The sequence below is a fragment of the Homo sapiens genome, chromosome 20 (assembly GCF_000001405.40).
Source record: "Homo sapiens chromosome 20, GRCh38.p14 Primary Assembly".
In the NCBI taxonomy this organism is placed as follows: Eukaryota; Metazoa; Chordata; class Mammalia; order Primates; family Hominidae; genus Homo; species Homo sapiens.
Window position 1 is genome coordinate 9,986,018 of NC_000020.11, and position 22,670 is coordinate 10,008,687.

The window sequence follows — 22,670 nt, forward strand, 5'->3', positions numbered from 1 at the left end:
TAGCATGTTTAGAAATGTCCTTATTCCTGCCCACATTTTATAAAGACATAATCACGTGGTAGATGCCTTTGGGACTTTTGAAATGCATTCTGTGAATGAGAAGAAATGCAAACATGTTGGCAAAACTGATTATTTTCATTGTGGATCTCACGCTTGCTTTGGCCATTTTTGTTATCTTTTATTTAATGGCTGCCACTGTTTTTTTCATCTCGGTCATTTTCTATATTTTCAAAAGGGAGATGGAAAAAAAACTTTGACTTCAACAAGCGCCGAATCTGGGCGCTGGATTCTAGCAATGCTACTGAGGAGCCTTTGGCAGGTGGCGCAGAGAAAGTCAGCTCCAAGCTGCTTCCTGTCCATTGTCCAGCTGTAGGAGAAGGGTCTTTCCTGCCCAAGGACAGTGGTCCTCTCTTCTAAAGAGCAAGGAGCTCTCTGAGGTGGAGGAGGCTTGTGAAGACTTCCCAGAACACTGCACCCACCTGACCAAGAGGTACTTTTTAAGGTGAGCATATTGGACATTGACCTCCATTTTCCTCCTTAATACAAGTAAAACGCATTCTTGAGATGAGAGGAGAAAAACAAATTATTTTAATCACTGCCTTCTAGTTTTCAAAATTGGAGTTGTCATCGTCTATAAATACTGCAAAAGTTTTTGTTTTTAGCTGAGTCTCAATTACCCAGCAAACCAAGGAATCCTACCTATGTTATTTTCTCTCCCAAGTACTGATTAGACAAAGGGCAAAAGAGGATGAAACTTCAGTTTTAATCTTCTCTAACAGTTCGGTTGAAAGGTTTGGTAGAAGAGAAAGTTTGAGAAAATGCATGCTTTGATCATCCCTATTCTATTTCACAGCTTTGGTTCAGTGGAAGCAAATCAGTTTTGCCTTGGTTTTTGACAGAAAAAATGGCTACCATAGGTTCCTGTGTTTGGGTTTTTGTGGTATAAATGCATATATTTTATGGTATTTGCATATATTTTTGTTTTCAGAAGCTTCTGGTAAGTTGATTTAATTTTAGCAGTTGTGATTACAACTCTTAAAACCAAGTCCTTGTTTATATATTTCATCTCCATTGCCTTGTAGACTTCTGACTTCTTAACTTTTTAAAAGTATTTCTTACAAACAAACTGAAAAATCATTTCAGTCTAAATGTTAGATAACACTTACATGAATTCCTTACAAAATGTAGCAAAATCATACTCAATAAAGGAAAAATAATAGGCTTAGCCTCCGAGGCCATAAATGCATAAAATTTTAGGAAAAAAAAATTGCTTTAGTATAATAATGTTATCCATAGATCAGTCATGCCACTTGCTGAAGAGTACAATAGCTCCTCCACAGAAGAAACTGGTTAAGTGTTGTTGAATGAGTACAAATTTTAGTAAGGGATTTTAAAATCATCTCCATTGCATCATTTCCAGGTTTATGCACAGAAGTAGAGAGGCTGACCTACCTGGTGGGATGGGGGATGCACAACGGAAGAATACCTTATAAACAATTGCCCTGGCCGGGCGCGGTGGCTCACGCCTGTAATCCCAGCACTTTGGGAGGCTGAGGTGGGTGGATCATGAGGTCAGGGGATCGAAACCATCCTGGCCAACACGGTGAAACCCCGTCTCTACTAAAAGTACAAAAAATTAGCCAGGTGTGGTGGTGGGCACCTGTAGTCCCAGCTACTCAGGAGGCTGAGGCAGGAGAATGGTGTGAACCCAGGAGGCAGAGTTTGCAGTAAGCCAAGATCGTGCCACTGCACTCCAGCCTGGGCAACAGTGAGATTCCATTCCCCCCTCCAAAAAAAAGTAAAAGAAAAAAAATTGCCCTTAATTGCTGATTACCTGCATGGAATTTACAATTATGGAACCGGTATTTAATGAAATGGTTTTTCAGTTCTAAGAAAACTTGACTACCATGCAAATATCATGAAAGAGGCACCCAGAGTATGTTTCTGTTTGTCTTTAAATCTTGCCATTAATTCACTCCACAACATATGTACAGGGTCTAGAGGGATGAGGAATAATTTAGGTAAATTTTGATTCAGAGGAGGCAGAAGCATAGGTCCTGCATGTGAGGCACTGGTGAAGTCAGGTATCCCCCGGAAGAACTAAGGGGTAGGGGTAAGGAAGAGGAGGGTGGAAAAGAGACACAATGTGAATGTAGGATGTGATGAAATTGAGGTATACCAAGGTGAACATTCACTTTTGCCTTGTGTAAGCTCTTAGATACTGAAGAAAACTCTACACTCTACTGTGCTAACATTCACTGGGGATGGGCCATGGTTGGACCCCAACAAAGATTTCTTGTGTGGTCTTGGCCATTTGCCCCAGGGTTTTCTTGTGTATCTCCTATGTGTTCCTAATGTAAAGGATTAGGGTTGATGGCAATGATTTGATAAGAAAGGAAATCAAAATTGCTTCACATTTGAACATCTTCTGAAGCTGACCCTCAAATTCCACTACACTCCTGTCTTATACCTGGCTTCGGAGGACCTGCTGGCCCTGCAAGGCGTTTCAGTTTGTGTAACCTGCCAGGTTCCTCCAGCTCCACTTGAGTTACTTTTGCATCCAAAGCTGTCTTTCCCTTAGCTTCTATTTGGGTTCCAGAAAGGTAAGTTTAGTACTGCTAACTTATAAATTCAGTTAGGTGAAAATTCATTTCTAAGACTTATTACTTATCAGTGATTCAACCAGGGAACCCAGGTACCTATTGGCTCTATTTTTTGGACTACGCCAGCCCACTCTTAAAATTCATAAGGGTCTTGGGAGTCATTTAGTACACTTCTCATCCAATATTTTCTATAAGACACTTGTCCAACCCACGGTCTGTGGGCTGCCTGCAGCCCAGGATGACTTTGAATGTGGTCCAACATAAATTCATAAACTTTCTTAAAACATTACGAATTTTTTTTTTTGCAATTTTTGCTCATCAGCTAGCATTAGTATTAGTGTATTTTATGTGCTAGCATTAGTGTTAATGCATTTTATGTGTGGCCTGAGACAATTCTTATTTTTCCAATGTGGCCCAGGGAAGCCAAAAGATTGGAAACCCCTCTTCTATAATATCCCTGAAAGATAGTTGTTCAACTTCTGCTTAGCCATACTGCATGAGATGGAATTTTTTTCCCTCATAAGGAAGTGTGTTGTTAAGAAGTTCTTTATAACATACAGTGGAAATCTGAGTCTCCACATTGTCCTATTTTTACTCTGTTAAGCAATCCAGAAAACTGTTGACTAAGTACAATGACTTCACTGGAACCACAAACTCTAAGAAGAAAGATCAGCTTCTCCTTTTATAAATTTCCTGCCTTCTACTCAAAGCATTGAATAATGTTGCCTTTTTCAGTGCAAATAACCCATTTAAGATCATAATAGTAAGATAAATCTAGAATTTATTGTGTACATTATTAGAAAATTCTTGATTTGTCCTTTCTGACTTCTTGTACATATTTGTTAATCAGGAATTTTGAAATTCATTTCTTCAAAGCTTCCTCAAGTCTGGGAGTGTTGCCAATTTGCATGGAAGAACAACATTTCATGACTGCATTCATAACGATTAAAATGTAATTCTAATGCACTAACCCAATTTCACAGCACATCAAAAATTTAATTCAACCCAAAATGACTCTCACAGATGTCTGATAATTTTCCAGTGGATGTTATTTGTAAGGTCAGATAAATTTGAGCATTTTAGAAAATTGTCAATCTTGCCAATACAATTTTTTGTAAATACAGCAACAGGAATACCTCCAGTATCAAGCTATGCTAATCTTTACAGAATGAAGCCCCTTTCATCAAAGGTAGCTGAGAGTGGAGAAAATTGGGAAAGAGTCCAGCCATTGCATTTCTGGTGGGTTCAGCTAAAGGGGCCCTGAGGCTGCAGTAAGGAAGTCCCCATGTTCAGGATCCTCATGGCTTTATCAGTAGGTTTGGGGGAGTCAGAGTGTTAGAAGCCAAAGATTTTCTGACTGTGGCACATATACACCATGGAATACTATGCAGCCATAGAAAATGATGAGTTCACGTCCTTTGGAAGGACATGGATGAAGCTGGAAACCATCATTCTCAGCAAACTATGCAAGGACAGAAAACCAAACACCGCATGTTCTCACTCATAGATGGGAACTGAACAATGAGAACACATGGACACAGGAAGGGGAACATCACACACCAGGGCCTGTTGTGGGGTGGGGGGAGGGGGGAGGGATAGCATTAGGAGATATAACTAATGTAAATGACGAGTTAATGGGTGCAGCACACCAACATGGCACATGTATACATATATAACAAACCTACATGTTGTGCACATGTACCCTAAAATTTAAAGTATTAAAAAAAAAAAAAGAAGCCAAAGACTTTCTGGCTTTGTGGAAGGCTGAGGGTGAGCAAGCTTCTAGAAGACAAAGAGAAAGTCAGTTCCTGGAATGCATATCTATAATTCCTTTTTTGTTTTTGCCTCTGGTGACATTTCTAACAATATACAGTTGGCTCTCTCTATCTATGGGTTCCACATTCGTTAATTCAACCAACCATGTATGAAAAAATATTCAAAAAAATTTAAAAAGAACAATACAAAAAATAATACAAATTTTAAAAATACAGTATAACAACTACTTACATAGCATTTACACTGTATTAGCTTAAAGTATACAGGAGGAGATTACTTAAAGTATACAGGAGGATGTGCATAGATTAAATGCAAATACTATGCCATTTTACATAAAGAACTAAAGTATCCTTAGATTTTGGCACCACTGGGGATCCTGGAGCCAATCCCCCATGAATACAGAGGGATAACATTAAAAGCGTTTGGATCTGGGAGTCCCTTTAGGATCTGGACCACACCACTTACTGGCCGTTTATTTCTATCAAGTCATTGCCTCCTTTGGCCTCTTTTTCTCCGTCTGAAAAGAAGGACATGCAAAACTAATGCCTTGTAAGGCCCCTTAAGTCCTAAACTACTGTAAATGTTATAAAACAAAATGAGTTTAAAAGTGAGATGCCGGCCAGGTGCGGTGGCTCACGCCTATAATCCCAGCACTTTGGGAGGCCGAGATGGGCAGATCATGAGGTCAGGAATTCGAGACCATCCTTATCAACATGGTGAAACCCTGTCTCTACTAAAAATACAAAAATTAGCTGGGCATGGTGGTGTGAACCTGTAATCCCAACTACTCGGGAGGCTGAGGCAGGAGAATTGCTTGAACCTGAGAGGGGGAGGTTGCAGTGAGCCGAGATTGCACAACTGCACTCACTCCAGTGTGGGCAACAGAGCAAGACTCCGTCTCAGGGGGAAAAAAAAAAAGTAAGACTCCTGGTCGGCCAAGATGGCAATTTACACACATGGTTTCTCATCATCTGTCACTATACTTTGCTAATACCTGGGAGATGCATGACTTGTGGGAACCCCCAAGGGAAAAGATGAGAGTTTTCAGGAGCACTTGTAGGACTAAGAATAAACCCTCAGAATAAATTTTCTTGGGGACCCGACATTTATCTTCATGTCCCTCTTGCACTACCTGCTCACAATTAAAGTACAACATGATATGTATACCTGCATCCCACAGGTATCCATTGTCCTGTTAGTTCAGACAGGCTATCTAAACGTCTAAACCCAAGCATTTTTGTTCTGTGTACAAGCAAGGTATCTATTTTGTACTCAGTATTAATCACTTAGATTATTTTGCCTCCCAAGATATCAATTTGTTCAACTATAAAATGAATATATGGTGTAAATACTATCAAATAGTCCCACCTGGGTTAATATGATTTTAAGGGTATATTGAGTAGCTACGCTTTGCTATTAACTCTGCCAGGTGGTTTGGCAAAACAAAGACACGTAACACATAGGTGTAGACTTCAAAAGAGTTCTCATTTTATTTGCGTTTGAAAGCATCCATGAACCAAACATGAATTGGAAATCTCAGGTAAAGTAATTAACTAAACAAATAAAATGTAATGCTTTTTCAAAAGTTAAAGTTTCAATAAAGTCCCAGAGTTTGCCAGCTTTAATTTTGTTTATTTTTAATATTCTGTGTTTTGAATGAGAAAATCAAGCCAGGCAATCTAATTGTTTTGCATTGTAAATCATCTTATTTGACTTATAAGACAGAATTTGCTAAAAGTAATTGAACTATTTCTCACTCGTTTCTTTGGGTATGACATCAAAAACACAGGGAAAAAAAGAATTTTTTTCAAAATTAAAAACTTCTTTTTATCAAAGGACACAAGCAACATAGTGAAAAGGCAGCCCACATTATAGGAGAAATGATTTGCAAATCATATGTCTAACAAGGAGTTAATATCCAAAATATATAAAGAACTCCTACAACTCAACAACAACAAAAATAAAAAACCTGATTAAAAAATGGTCAAAGGATTTAAATAGATATGTCTTCAAAGAAGATATACAAATGGACAATATAACATGAAAAGATGCTCAATAAAAGCCACAATGAGATATTACCTCATACCCATTAGAGTAGTTTCTATTTTTAAACAGCAGCAGAAAATAAGTTTTGCTGAGAATGGGAGAAATTGGAACTCTTGTGTACATAAAATGGGTGCAGCCACTATGGAAAAGAGCATGGCGGTTCCACAAAAATTAAAAAGTAGAGTATGTGATTCAGCAGTTCCACTTCTGGGTATATATCAAGAAGAATTGAAAGCAGAGTCTCAAATATATATTGTACACCAAAGTTGATAGCAACATTACTCACAATAGCCAAAAGGCAGAAGAAATTAAAGTGTCCATTGATGAACGAATGTATAAACAAAATATAGTGTATTCATTCAATGAAATATTATTCAGCCTTAAAGAAGGAAATTCTTACACATGCTGCAACATGGATAAATCTTGAAGACTTTTTTTTTTCTTTTTTTTTGAGACGGAGTCTCGGTCTGTCGCCCAGGCTGGAGTGCAGTGGTGCAATCTCGGCTCATTGCAACCCTCGGCCTCCCAGTTTCAAGTGATTCTCCTGCCTCAGCCTCCTGAGTAGCTGGGACTATAGGTGTGCACCACCACACCCAGCTAACTTTTTTTTTTTTTTTTGAAATTTTTAGTAGAGATGGGGATGGGGTTTCACCATGTTAGCCAGGATGGTCTTGATCTCCTGACCTCGTGATCTGCCTGCCTCAGACTCTCAAAGTGCTGGGATTACAGATGTGAGCCACCGCACCCAGCTGAAGACTTTATGTTACATAAAATAAGCCAGTCACAAAAAGACAAATACTTCCATATAATTTCACTTACGTGGGGTACACAGAGTTGTCAAATTCATAGAAACAGAAAGTAGAATAGTAGTTGCTAGAGACTGGGGAAGGGGGAAGTAGGGCATTGTTGTTTGATGGGTACAGGATTTCAGTTTTGTCCGAAGAAAAAGAGTTCTGTGGATCGACAGTGGTGATGGTTACACAACAATGTGAATGTACTTAATGCCCCTGAATCATGCACTTGAAAAATGGCTAAGACAGTAAATTTTATATTCTGTATATTTGAACACAATAAGAAAAATAAAAAAGAAAGTAGATCAATTATATTCTGGCTTTTATTATTATTATTATTATTATTATTATTTTGAGACAGGGTCTCACATTGTTACCCAGCCTGGAGTGCAATGGCGTGATCTCGGCTCACTACAGTCTCGTCCTCCCAGGTTCAAGCTATCTTCCTGCCTCAGCCCCACAGGTAGATGGCATTACAGGTGTGCACCACCATGGCCTGCTAATTTTTGTATTTTTCTCTTTTGTAGAGACAAGGTTTCACCATGTTGCCCAAGCTAATCTTGAACTCCTGAGCTCAAGTGATCTGCCTGCCTCAGCCTCCCAAAGGGCTGGGATTACAGGCGTGAGCCACTGAACCTGGCCCTGGCATTTTTTTATCATTATAAAATGTCACATTTATTGCTACAGTGCTGTTATATACAGGACAGGTCTCCAAATTGCCTTTAAAGAGGATCGTTTAAAAATCCCAATAATCCAGCCAGCTGTGTTGACATCTATAAAATTATTTTTCTTAAAAAAAAATTACTCGTTTTGAAAACCAGTTACCTTGAAGCACTCAGAGCACAATTTCCACCCAATAATTGTGGTTTTGTCCACCTCCCACATTTGTTCCATTTTTTGTGTTGGGTTAATCTCATTATACATGTATTATATATATGTAGATATAAATATATCTATCTATATACATAGATATCTGTTATATCTATGTATATAGATAATTATATTATCTATAATATAATTATATAGATAATTATATTATCTATAATATAATTATATAGATAATATAATTGCAGATAATAATATAGACAATATAATTATATCTGCATACAGATATAACAGATATCTATATAGGTATAATTCAATTATGTAATTGAATTACATATAGAATTATATATATACAATTTATTTTTTTGCCTGATTATAAAAACTAGGCTATGGGGAATGATGGTCTTCACAGGGGGTATTTCGTATAGGTAAACTATCCAGATTATTTGGCTTTTAAAAACTGTATAGGACATATATGCCCAATCTCAACCATGGCTGCATAATAAAATCACCCAGCAAGCTATTTAAAAATAATAGATTTTGGTTCTAGGGTAAAGCCCTGACATGGAGATTTTAAAAACATCACCAAGTGATTGTAATGTGTGGCTAGAATTGAAAACTACTGCCCTAGTTTCTCAATCATTGAATTATATTAGTCTGATCATTTGGTTTGTTCTTGGCACTGATGACCATGAAGTATCTTATCTTAGTTTGTTTTGTGTTGTTATGACAGAATACTTGAGACTGAGTAGTTTAGAAAAAATTGTTTATTTTGCTCATGGTTCTGGAGGCTGGGAAGTCCAAGAGCATGGTGCCAGCATCTTGTGAAGGCCTTCATGCTACATCATTCCTTGGCAGAAGGTAGAAGGGCAAAAGAGCATGAAAGCAAGAGAGAGAGGTGGCCAAACTTACTTTTGTAACTAATTTACTCCCACAATAATGACATTAATCCATTTATAACAGCAGAGCCCTCATGACCAAATCACCTCTTGTTAGGCCCCACCTCCAAACTCTGTTGCCATGGGGGATTAAGTTTCCAACACATGAATCTTGAGAGACACACTCAAGCCATAGTATATTTACATTGATTAGCTAGCTTTTCATAATGAAGAATTCAATATTAGTAAGCCACACCATGAAATCCTACAAATAAGTACAGTATGTTCTGAGATAAATTAAAAACAATTCATAACAATTCAGTAGCACATTTATCAGATTTGCTTTCAGTCTTGAACAAGGTAAGTCAATAATTCATTTGATGCTTAATGGCAGTTAATTCTTATGAAGATCATTCAAATATAAAAACACAACAATGACCTGAAAGCCTAACCTGAAGGTTCTTATCAAGAGATACCAAAGTAAAGACAACAGAAAACAATTGCAGAATATTTACTATGTGATTGTTCTTATGGGAGACTCCTGAACTAGGTGACAAACATATTCTCAGAGATTCAGGTTCATTATTTCTGTTGGGTATTAAGCCATTATGCTGTAAATTTCCAAGCATGAGTTCTTCCCAAAGCCCATTTATTCTTCATATTGCCTCATGCATTCTCAAAGTCCTAGCATCAAACTAAAGGCATGGTTTATTTCTTCTCTGGGAGCTATAGAAGTAAACTCCATTTGAAGTCTTGGCCCTATGCCCTACACATTGTTGCCAGAATAATCTTGGCAAAATTTATGCTCAAAGACTTGTAATAACTCTCACTCACCTAAAATAGAGTAACTGTGAATAACTTAATCTGGTATTCTTAGTTTTCTAGACACTATCTTTCCAGCCTTATTACCAATGATTTCACTGTGCATTGCTGAGATTCAGCTGACCTAAACTAAATGTGGCTAGTCTGGGCTCCAAGCTGCAGGTTGGGCCCAATGCCTCGTCCACAGGTCCCTCTTCCTTCTTGAACTGGCAGCTATGTGAGGCATGATCTTCTCTTTGTGATGGATGGCTGGAGCACAAGAAGGACATAGGCAAACATGTTGACTTTTACAGTGTAGGCTTGGAGTTGGCACATTGTCACTTTGGGTTATGTTCCATGGGCCAAAGAAAGTCACGTGACTGGGCCCAGCATCAGTGGGGCAAAGAAGTGCATGCTGTCTATAGAAGTCACGGAGGGGAGTGGTGAATACATATTTGATGAACAATAATATAATATACCCATAAAATGTAACAGAATAACATTTTTCATAATCAATAACATTGCTAAAATTATTAAACAGTTTTTATTTTATGTAAAATAAAATGAAGGCTTAACATTGCCTGGGTGAAGTTTGATATAGGATTTGAAGTCCATGTTCTTAAATTGTTGAGTTTTTTTTATGACTTCCATTGAACAGAGATCAGGTCCATTTACTGGAAAGAATTGTTTGTAAACCGAGTTCTTTCTATGGCCATTTTTCAAGGCTGGAAATTGTTCCATGATATGTTCTTTGAGTTTCTTTCTCTACCTCCATCATCCCTGATAATGGCTAAGCTCTCCCAGAAGTGCACACAGATGAGGCCAAATGTAGTACTGTCTTGGTAGAGAGAACAGGGGCTTTGGTACAAGTAAAATGAGTCCACCACAGACTGGCTCTGAACTCAGGTCAAGTCATGTAAACTCACAAGTCTATATAGTTACTTAGTAAAGCTTGCCTGAACTGACTAATGGGTTGCTGTGTTGATTACGTGAGATACTATCAGAAAACACAATTCAAAATATTAATTATAAAATAGATATCCTTATTTATACAACCAAAGTCACATGTCACTTAAAGAGGGGGATACACTCAGAGAAATGTATTGTTTAGTGATTTTATCATTGTGTGCAAACATCATAGAGTGTACTACACAAACCTAGATGGTATAGCCTACTACACGCCTAGGCTATATGGTGTAGTCTATCGCTCTTGGGCTGTAAGCCGGTACAGCATGTTACTATACTCAACATTGCAGGCAATTGTAACACAGAGGTATCTAAACATAAATAAACTTTGAAAAGGTACAGTAAAAATATGGTATAAAAGATAAGAAATGGTATGCCAGTAAAGAGCACTTACCATGAATGCAGCTTGCAGGACTAGAAGTTGCTCTGGCTGAGTCAGTGAGGGAGTGGTGAGTGAATGTGAAGGCCTGGGACATTACTGTACACTGTAGACTTTATACACACTGTACACTTAGGCTACACTAAATTTATTTAAAATAATTTTCTTCATTAATAGCCTTAGCTTACTATAACTTAAACATTTTTAATTTTTAAAACTTTTCAACTCTGTAAAAATAATACTTTGCTTAAAATACAAACAACATACAACTGTACAAAAATATTTTCTTTATATCCATATTTTTTGAAAAAAATTTATATCTATCTTCATTTTTATGCTGTTGAAAACTAAGAGATAAACAATACATTTGCCTAGGCCTACACAGGGTCAGGATCATCAATATCACTGTTTTCCGCCTGCACACTGGAAGATATTCAGGGTCAATAACATGTATGGAGCTGTCATTTTCTATGGTAACTATGCCTACTTCTGGATACTTCCTGAAGGACTTGCCTGAAGATGTTTTACAATGGACTTTTTGTTTAATACGTAGAAGGAGCATACCCTAAAGTAACAACAAAAACTCTAGTATAGTAAATACATAAATCAGTAACATATTTATTATTATTATACATTATTATGTACTGCACACAATTGTATGTGCTATGCTTCCATATGACCGACAGCACAGTAGCTTTGTTTACACCAGCATCACCACAAACAACACAAGTAATGCATTGTGCTGTGATGATGTGATGGTTACGATTTCACTAGACGATAGGAATTTTTAAGCTTCATTTTGATCTTATGGGACCACCATCATATATGTGGTTGTTGACTAAAACATTGTTATGCACTTTTGAAATTACATAACTGTAATTTGTCTAGACTACAGTCCCTATATATTCTAGTTTTTTTCTACTGTTTACTTATTTAATTTACTTTGTCTTTAGCTAGTAGTCAGTTGTCATTAAGAATAAAGCAAAAATTTTCATTTATAAACGGCTAATGGCATTCCTACATTAATTCTTGTCCTTAGAGACCATCGACTGAAATAGATTATAATAAATATGATCAATTAGCTAATCATTTAATGAATCATTCGGGACACAATAATTGTTTCAAAATTTCCATTGCATACCACCACCTAATAGATATTGACCACAAAAGAAATATCTCAGGGGAGGGGGGAGAGATAGCATTAGGGGATATACCTAATGCTAAATGACAAGTTAATGGGTGCAGCACACCAGCATGGCACATGTATACATATGTAACTAACCTGCACATTGTGCACATGTACCCTAAAACTTAAAGTATAATAATAATAATCATTAAAAAAGAATGAATTAAAAAAAAGAAATATCTCATTGAATCAAGTAATTTTTTCCTCATTTTTATTATACGTGATAATTATCTCAATAAATATCTCAAGACTTACTAAAATTCAATAAAGTAGCCCTGTTAAAATACTTAGGATTGCTAAAATTCTCCATTTCATTTTATGTGTGAATGGTTTGCTGAAAAGAAAAGAAATAAATGATTGAGACATATATCCTGGATTTATTTTTCATCTTGGATTTTGATCTTTAGCAATTTTATTTAATAACATCTCTGTGAAAACCCATGATTTCATGTCATTGGTAGTTTTGACAAGTTCAAAAGAGCCAATCACAGATTTATTTTATAACAAGATTTAGGCTGGGCGCAATGGCTCATGCCGGTAATCCCAGCACTTTGGGAGGCTGAGGCAGGCAGATCATTTGAGGTCAGGAGTTCAAGACCACCCTGGCCCACATGATGAAATCCCGTCTCTACTAGAAATACAAAAATTAGCTGGGTGTGGTGGCACGTGCCTGTAGTCCCAGCTACTCGGGAGGCTGAGGCAGGAAGATCACTTGAACCCAGGAGGTGGTGGTTGCAGTGAGCTGAGATCACACACCACTGCGCTCCAGCCTGGGTGACAGAGCGAGACTCTGTCTCAAAACAACAACAACAAAAAAAAAAAAAAAAAAAAAACAAGACTATGTTTCTGAAGTAAGCCTGCCAAATTTAGGCAATGTATTTGGAAAGACTTTTTAGTTCTAGGTGTTATATTCTTTACAGCTAGATTCATTTAACTGGAGAGTACTTACAGTATGATCGAGAAAAATAATACAAACATAAATGCTGTGGAATCATGGAACTGTGTTTATATATCACAGATCTCAGAGATATAAATTAATCATTCAATGAGAAATACCATCCCTGAAAATGAACATGACTATAATAAAATCAATGAGCAGCTATATATAAAATCCATCTTTCTTAAACGTATTAGTGTTTTATAAACACTAATATAAAATACAAATGTGAATAAATATAAATTTTCTCCAACAATTTTGTCTTTAGTTTGAAAAGTATAGTCTTTTGCAAAGTTCATAAATTGGTATGTAAACATTTTCAGTTATCCTAGGGTGGAGATCATCTTGAAACTTCAAAGTGAACATATTGACATAGGTCACAGAACAACACATTAATAAGAGCCCCCAAATGAATTGCCACACAGCAGACTTCATTCCATCTTTTTTACATGATGAAATAGTCTTCCTGTTAATGAAAAATGCTCCAGGCCCTGAGAAGGCCTGGGCTGCATGAGTCAAGGAGAGGGTAGCATGAAGACAAAAGGATTCTAATTCCAAGTAGTAGCATATGGAGAGCCCGCTGCCAAAGGGTTTCAGTTCCTCAATCATCTGTGGTCTTGACAATGTGACTGTGCAACTAACTCCTCCCTGCAGAGGATGGTGGCATCTGTTTCTCCACCTTTTGAATCTGGGCTGGCCTTTGGACTTGGCAAGGCCAATAGAGATTTGAGCCTGGGTCTCAAGGGACCTGGCACTTCTGCTCCCTTTCTGTTGGAGTCCTGCCAGCATCTTGGGAACAAGTTCCAGAAGATAGCTAGAGGATGGGAGCACATGAAGAGCAGATCACAACCATCCCTGGGGAGCCCAGCCTGGACCAGCTACAGCCACCCGTCTCCCAAACATGGAGAGAGACCCCCGAGTTTAGCAGAGCTGCATACCTGACCCACAGTGAACCACATATGCATGAGGGAGTCCAGGTGAGATCACAGGAACATCCAGCTGGCCCATAAGCTTATAAGCAGTAATATCTACTTATGATTCTTAGCTACTGCTTTTGAGTTGTGCCAACTCATGCTGAGGGTGCAGTGTTTTTTAGAATATCTCAGTGCTTTCTAAAAAATTTTTATTTTTCCCCCCACAGAAACTGCTATTTTCATGCTAGATTTAATCAAACTTACAGTGGTTTTGTAGTTGTGAGATAATTCATTGGCTTAAGCACATTTATCGAAACTCCTATAAAATGTGTTTGAATTAAGTAAGCAAATCAATTTCCTGTCTTGTTGTCCTATACCTTAGACTAGCTAACTAGTAAATTTGTACATAGTAAAAAGTAAATAGTGAAAAAAGGTACAAGTAAGAAGTAGTAAAAATAAAGTAGCAAAATATTTTGTTCAAATAGCACTGCCAGTACCAAAAGCGGGAGTCCAAATGAAAAAAAAAATAACTAAAACGAATATTAGTTTGCAGATTTAAAAGTTCAATTGAACATATAGTATTGAAAGCAGAAAAGATGTCAAGATGACAGAACTAAGTCTAAATGTAACTTTGCTCTCAAACATGTCAAGGTATACATTAAAATGAATAGAAAATTTTCACAAATTAAATTAAAAAGTAGCTCGGGAGGCTCAGGCAGGAGAATGACGTGAACCCGGGAGGCGGAGCTTGCAGTGAGCCGAGATCGCGCCACTGCACTCCAGCCTGGGCGACAGAGCGAGACTCCATCTCAAAAAAAAAAAAAAAAAAAAGTAGCGAACACATATCCTATAAAACATGGATAATATAGAGAAATTCTGAAAGGGTAAAAACTTTCAAAGCTTAAACAAATCCAGACCAGGAAAGTATAAATACAAATTTGAAAGTATGATACTAATGTCAGAGAAGTTTGAATTCAAGGAAGAGTCTAAAAGAGTTTAAACACATAAAGATGAAACATTTATAACACGCATTTACTTAAATAATAAGGTAGCAATAAATAACATAGCAAAAACAATGACAAAATCGTAAATTTCAAGAAATGCTAGGAAAAAACAGATACAGATAAGAAAAAATTTGAAATTCTGAACAAAATAATTGAAGCTAAAGTAATAAAAATATATTAAATTCTATAGTCTTATAGAATATACTTCACTTTAATCACTTATATTTATAAAGCAATTGGCTGTATATTAGGGGAAAAGCAGAAATAGTACAGACTACATTCTTGATGCACACAGGAATACATACAAGACATAAAAAATAATAACAAAAATCAGGGAGAAAATCTACAACCACCTTGAAATTTGCAATTTTCTTCCCATAAATGTCAAAGATCAAACAAGTAATCAAAATTATAATTGCAAAGTATTTAGAAATTATTATAATTAAAACAATAAATATTAGAAATTAAAAGCAGAGAAAAATATATAGCCTTGCATATCTATATAACTAGTAGGAAAGAATAAAAACAAAAAAATTTAGCTACTCAAGACCAAAAGTTAGAAAATAATAACAAAATAAACCTAAAAAAGGGAAGAAAATAATAAAAGCAAAATTAATTAGGAAACAGAAAGTGGGTAAATAGATTGAAAATAAGCAACTAAGGGCAGATTAGTAACTATAAGTAACTTGCTAATGAACCTAGTCACCAAAAGGAGAAAACAGAATATTAAAATTTGAAAATGAAGAGTAACCAAAAACAGAGAGGAACCTGAAACTACCCAAAGAAAGTATGTTGCACACTACAAATAAATTGGAAATTTTTCCTAATATTGAGGATTGTATTGAAAAACAGAATTCCCAGGATTGACCCCAGTCACAGAATGTAACACATATTTACACATTCGCTTCCTAGAAGCAATCACAAGAAATTGATACCACTTACCGCTTTGGGAAGGAAACTTGGCAGGGAAAGGAGCGAAGTTCCTTTTTAGTTTTATTCCTTTCTGAACTGTCTGTATGTCCAAATTTGATTTTTTTAAAATATAGGCTTATTGGGAAATTAGATTATATATTTATTTGTAGTAAGGCAAATGGAAAAAAAATAAAGAATAGTGGCTCATGCCTGTAATTCCAGCACTTTGGGAGGCCAAGGCGGGCAGATCACAAGGTCGGGAGATCGAGACCAACCTGGCTAACACAGTGAAACCCTATCTCTACTAAAAATACAAAAAAAAAAAAAATTAGCCGGGTGTGGTGGTGGGCGCCTGTAGTCCCAGCTACTTGGGAAGCTGAGGCAGGAGAATCGCTTGAATCCAGGAGGCAGAGGTTGCCATGAGCCGAGATTGTGCCACTGCACTCCAGCCTGGGCGACAGAGTGAGACTCCGCCTCAAAATAAATAAATAAATAAATAAATAAATAAATAAATAAATAAATAAATAAATAAAAATGAAGAATAAAGGGCACAATCATGAGTAGAACACAAAGGCTGATGATCAAGGAGTCAAGCCAGAGTGATGATGGGTGGAGATTGGAAGAAACAGACCCAGAGACCTTGTGCTGGGCAACATCTGTTTCTACACTTGCCTGGCTACCTGACGTACTATCACTCATAGTTCTAAAGTATACCATGTTGGTATATTTATTAGTTTTTCAATATTTATTTAGATTTATTTTGGAAAAATATCCAATATATCCAGCTATTTAACAAAATTGAGGATTAAAACTATTTGATTTGGTGCTATTTTTGGACATGCATATTACACCAACAGAATAGCTGCTGATGCAAACCTGTTTGTTCCCTCTAGACAAGGAGATTAGAAACGGTAGGTAGATTCCTCCTTAAGAAAGAAGCAAATAACTTGAAATACAATTTGTTTTGTTTCTTGTATTTGAAAGTGCAGTTTACACAAGCCAAATAGACACCATATGGCCTTCAGTAATTTGACATTGAAGAGCAATGCATGATTTGTATTCTATTTCCAGCTACTGCACAGTGAATGTGCTGTGATACCATGTTTTTAAATTCCTCTCTGCCTTTGCCCTTGCTGTCTCTTAGAGGCAGGACATTTATTTATTCACTTATTCATTTCTTCTCTTTTTTATCCAGTGAAGTCTAAAAGAGATTGAAACTAAAAATAAATAAATAAAAAAGTTCAAACTAAAATTTCTCCTTTTTAGTGACCTCACTGAAGCTGTGTCATTATCTGGGGTAAATACCCAAGGTTTGTCTCTCCGCCAAGAAGATTAAGGACATGGACACACAGGGCAAGGGAGTTTAGGAGTGGAGGTTTACTAGCTAAAAGAAAGAGAAAGGAGAATAGCTCTCTCTCTCGTGAGAGAGGGGCTCCCGAAAGGGAAAAACCAGCCTGTGGCATACTGCACCAGATTTTATAGGCAGGCTTCAGGAGGCAGTGTCTGATTTACTAGGGCCCACAGATTGGTTGGACCAGATGTGATGTTTATATAGCGCACAGGGAAGGCTGGCCACCCCACCCTAATCTTATTATGCAAATGGGTTTTTCACTTGGCCAGGGCCAACTTGTCTGCTCCTTACTGTACACGTAGCTGGCAAAAGAAGGGAACATGGAGTCGCCATTTTGCACATGCCTAGTCCCAGATAGCCTTTTCCTCTTGGCACAACTGCTGGCATTCACCTGTGCAAGCTTCCAGCTTTCTTGTCTATGTCTGCAGCTCTATTTTACAGGCTGCTCTTTGTTAGAAAAGAAAATGATTTGGGGGCTGCTTTTCATTAAAAGGAAAACTTTACCAAGGACTCTCGTACCCTCACTATCTGCCTAAATAATTTTTTCTTAACTCCTATGTCATCACCACCTCTGTGAGTTAATATTGTTTTGTTCATACCCCTAAGTATAGCACTATTGTGTATTGTGATGGTATATATAGCCCTGACTCCCCCACTAAACCCCAAGCTTCACAAGGTCAGGGCCATGTTTCATTGTTTTAGAAATCTGTAACACCTAGCATGTCATAGATTATTTTTAAATGTTAAGAGAATTGCATTAAAAATTAAATACTTAAATATTTTTAGATCAAAGCATCAAGGTTAATATCTTTGTAAAGGGAATAATGTTCTATTATGAGTGGTAATAAGATTTTCCCATTAAGTTTGATTGAAGAACCCCAGTTTCACAATGCAGAGTACTAACCACTATACGATCACAGCTGAAGGAAGCCAGTTTCAAATACCACAGGTCATCCATCATTTTATCTAGCACATGGATATATATGACCACATTCGGGTTCCCAATAAGTAATGAGAGAAACAGAAGCATTTAATGTTGCCAAAAAAAAGAATCATAACATGGCCATGCTGATCTGTTTGTCTGTCATGATAACTAATGCAGCTTTTTTTGATAACCAATAGAAATAATGAATTCCCTACAAGTACATAGTACTTACAATAATATTTTAATAACCTACTTCAACATGAATTTTCAGTCCTCTTGGAAGGCTAACAAAATGATCCCCTCCTCCCCAAAATTGCATCATGTATTTGTTCATTTAACTTTTCAATCAATATTCATTTATCAGGTGCATGTCCATTTAGTAGACACTATGCTAGAGACACTTATACAGCATAGGCGAGTGTTTTAAAAAGTAAAAATACTTTATGCATTCATCTCTTCCTCACTGCACTGCCTTGACCCCACACAAGAAAGTGTGTAGCAGTTTCTCTTGGGTTTTGCTTACAGCTTCTCCAACAGATAAGAATATTTTATTTCATTTAATTTCATTTTAAATTTATTACTTCATGAAAGTGAGATAAAATTTGCCTAATTATCATAAGAAATATGGAAATGAATACGGGACATTTTCTAAGCACATGCATAGCACAGTGAACTCACTGCTTCCACTCTGTGTTTCTCAGTGGTGGAGGAATTAGTGAGTCCATCAGTGCCTGCCATGGGGAGGGTGAGGGGCAGGGTTCAGGCCTCACATTTATAGCAGGCCTCATCCTGTTCCAGATGTAATCGCCACATACTTTCACATGCAGCCACAGTGGGAAGTTGCAGGGTTGAAAGATAATACCACTTGAATCCTTGAAAATAAACACTAAAAATACATCCAAATGTTTAACCCAGTTTGGTCATTTTTTCATTCTGTTTTCTTCATTTTGGTTACTTCTTAATTTTGTTTAAGGCTCTCACTAAATTATTTGAATCATGATCCTGGCTCAGTATTCTTATTTTCTCATTTTTCTCAGTGCCTTATTTCCTAAAACCTTAAAAGTCAAAGATCCCTGGAGGGACAGGTGGGGGTGAGGGGAGAAAGACAATATATAGAGCTCTCAAATATGTCTTTCAAAAGAGTGCCATAAAAAGCTTTTAAGATGGTATTTATTTACTTACAATTTATGCCCCTCAAATCAAAGAAAACACAGTATGGTGTCTCTTCCCTCAATGTTATTGCCCCCCTCCCTTCCAAATGGCATTAATTTAAAATGAAAAAATAGGGTAGAATTCCGTGTTCTTCCTTCTTCCCAACTTGGCACCATAATACGCACGCTCCTCCTCCCCACCAAATTCATGCCTTTTATCAATCTCATTGGCATAATTACAAGGAGAAAATTTCATTTTAATTGTATTCATTTTATTTTAGAAAGGAGACTGAAACTCTGGAGGATTTATAAAAAATATTTACAAAGCTATGAAGTATGTGCTTAAGTAAACTAATTTCACCGGTTCTCTTTATACTTTTTAAAATTTGAAAGTAGGGAAAATTTAAAAATAAAAACATGCTATATTCTCACATTAAAAAAAAATCCTATGAAAGGGAGAACTCAAAAATTTGTTCTCTAATCCTTTGCCCTTGAGGTCACCGCTGTTCAGAGCTTGATATTTGTTCTTTCCAAGTTTTTCTTAGACTTATTGTGAAATATGTAAGTGCTTATCTTGTAAAAATAGTATTGAGCACAGGGCTTATCCTTCCTTGTCTGGTACCTGGGGAGATTTGGGCAGGTGGAGATACTGGTGTATGAGGAGGACCTGATAAGGAAGTGGTTGGGCTCTGAATTGGTTGGTTTGCATTTGAAAGTTTTGCTAGCAGGAGAGTTGTTGACTTACTATTTCTAGGAATTAGTGAACCTTGTGAGGCAGGAGCAAGGCCCTGGATGTCAAGCCTTTCAGAATACAGAAAATCAAAAGACACAAGGCTAATATAACTTCATACTGCTTTTTTAATTTAAAGAAACCCAGAGAATTTGCTTAAGTGTTTCAAGCTAACAAACATTTTATTCGTGTGGCATAAATAATACATGAACAGACTTTTATGAGTAATATAACATCTGCAGCTCTTAGAAAATAAAACATAGTTAATTAGGGATGGCAGGAATTATGTAATCATTACTTTTATGTTTTGTTCTTTCTAGGTCATTCAAACTGTCATCTACACATGAATAACAATGAAATTCTCATAAAGAAGCAGAAATACCCAGGAGGCATGAAGAGTCATCATGCTTCAAAAGTACATGTATTAGGACTTCACGACCTCAGGAAAAGTAGACTCCGTAACTCTTAAAAGCTCAATCTTGGAGAGGAGAAACATGCTGTTTGATGACATAGCACAGAAACTTGTTGAAATATCCTTGGAGCTTGAGATGTCGAGAGCGAGCCATCAAAATGTTCTCAAGAATTAAATTGAAAAATGTTGCTTCAAAATGTCTTAGCCAACCAAATACAAACATTTTTGTCATTGTGACAAAAAAAAAGCTCACCAATTGTCTTTGCTAGTCTCAGCACAGCCCAAGAGGAGCATCCTTCATGAGCCAACTGAAAAACAGTGTGTAGTCTATGCTTCTGACCAGATGGGCTTCTCTTGTCACCATAACATTATGTATTAGGACTTCATGTATTATGTATTATGTCAACACTTTATTCATTATGCTGATCATACTCTGTATTTCACTTGCTCTGGTTATTTGTAAAGCTTTTCCTATTTCATCATTAAATTATCCTTGTATTTTAGCAACTGCATTTTAGTCACTCTATATTCTTTATAGTGCCTGCCCAAATGACATATTAATAAGCATTTTTTCTGAATCAATAACCAACCCCCAAAAAATCTGCAGCCATGGTTGTAAATACCGTACATTCCAAAGAAAAGTGGAAATGAATGAAGGACCAATTTTGAGGAAGAATTAGGGTTCTCAAAAATTCAACAATTACAATCAGTAAGTTTTTTAAAATTTAACAAATTCAACAAGTATGTCAACAAGTATTCAACAAGTTAGAGTTATAAACATTTGTTCAAAATTTTACACGTGGTTAATACCTTCAGAGCAGTTAGCAGCAAGATTCTCATTTTTAAATCTTTACCCCTTTGTTCATTTTAAGGCAAGATGGAGACCATGTTGATGTCAGAGCAATTGGTCCAGGGTTGTGTGAGGAGCCACTAGGAAGGGAGAAACAGGGAAATGTGGACCCAAACAGCATAGTGTTCCCCAGAAACTTGGGTTGGACACAAGAGTGTACATGCAGGAAAAAGTAAAATCAAGAAGATGTGTTAATCTAAACAATGCTGTGAGCAAATGAGACACAGGTCTCCAGGGGACACTCTGAGAAACTACACAGAATACACTTCAAAATTGTCCACCAGAAAGACAAATGAGAGAAGGGATGATCCATTGACTGTCTTCTACCATTGGTCATGTTGGCCGAAAGGCTGTTCACGACCGTGGACTTCAAAGATTGCACCTGCTTCAGAATGGCTGAGTAGTTTGCAGAAGGCATCTTAACAGATGGTAACAGAGAAGCAAGAGATAAGTGCTGCAGCTGATGCAAGGTGCTGGCAGTGACACTATCACAAAGCTGGTTGCTGTAAAAATGTGGCCAAGAGGATGTGAGCTACAACGCAAGAGTGGTTCGACATCATTTCTCAGAAGCACATGAGTCTGATGCAAATCTATTGTTCTTGAAATAATGAGCACAGGACCATATTTGTCCCTTCTGGACAATAGTCAGAGAAAGGAGCACCCACAGAGAGAAAAGATCTGGTAATACTAGTTAGGGAGTGGAAGAAGCCAGGTGATATAGTTTGGCTGTGTCCCCACACAAAATCTCATTGTGAATTGTAATCTGAATTGTAATTCCCATGTGTTAGAGCTGCGACCTGGTGGGAGGTAATTTAATCATGGGGGTCGTTACCCTCATGCTGTTCTTATGATAGTGAGTTCTCACGGGATCTGATGGTTTTATAACAGGCTTTTCCCCCTTTTGCGTGGCACTTCTCCTTGCTACTGCCATGTGAACAAGGGCGTGTTTGCTTCCCCTTCTGTCATGATTGTAAGTTTCCTGAGGCCTACCCAGCCATGTTGAACTGTGAGTCAACTAAACCTCTTTACTTTATAAATTACTCAGTCTCGGGTATGTCCTCATAGCAGAGTGAGAACAGACTAATATACCAGGGCACAGAAGAAGCCTAAGACTAAACTGCACCTCTCTGTGCTTTAAACACAGACCAGCACCTGGATGAGTGTTTTTCTTTTTCTTCTGTGCATATTTTTTGTATTTGGCTGCTTTTTAACTTGCCAGCTCTGACAGAACAA

General features: G+C 37.1%; 1 long non-coding RNA gene across 1 annotated transcript; it reads left to right on the top strand.

Moving 5' to 3' along the window:
• The first annotated feature begins 315 nt into the window (after positions 1 to 315).
• On the top strand, positions 316 to 21,099 carry PARAL1 (PPARG activating RBM14 associated lncRNA 1). The gene is made up of 2 exons (NR_109861.1): positions 316 to 502; positions 20,496 to 21,099. It is a non-coding gene; the product is annotated as a PPARG activating RBM14 associated lncRNA 1 (long non-coding RNA).
• The last annotated feature ends 1,571 nt before the right edge of the window (positions 21,100 to 22,670 follow it).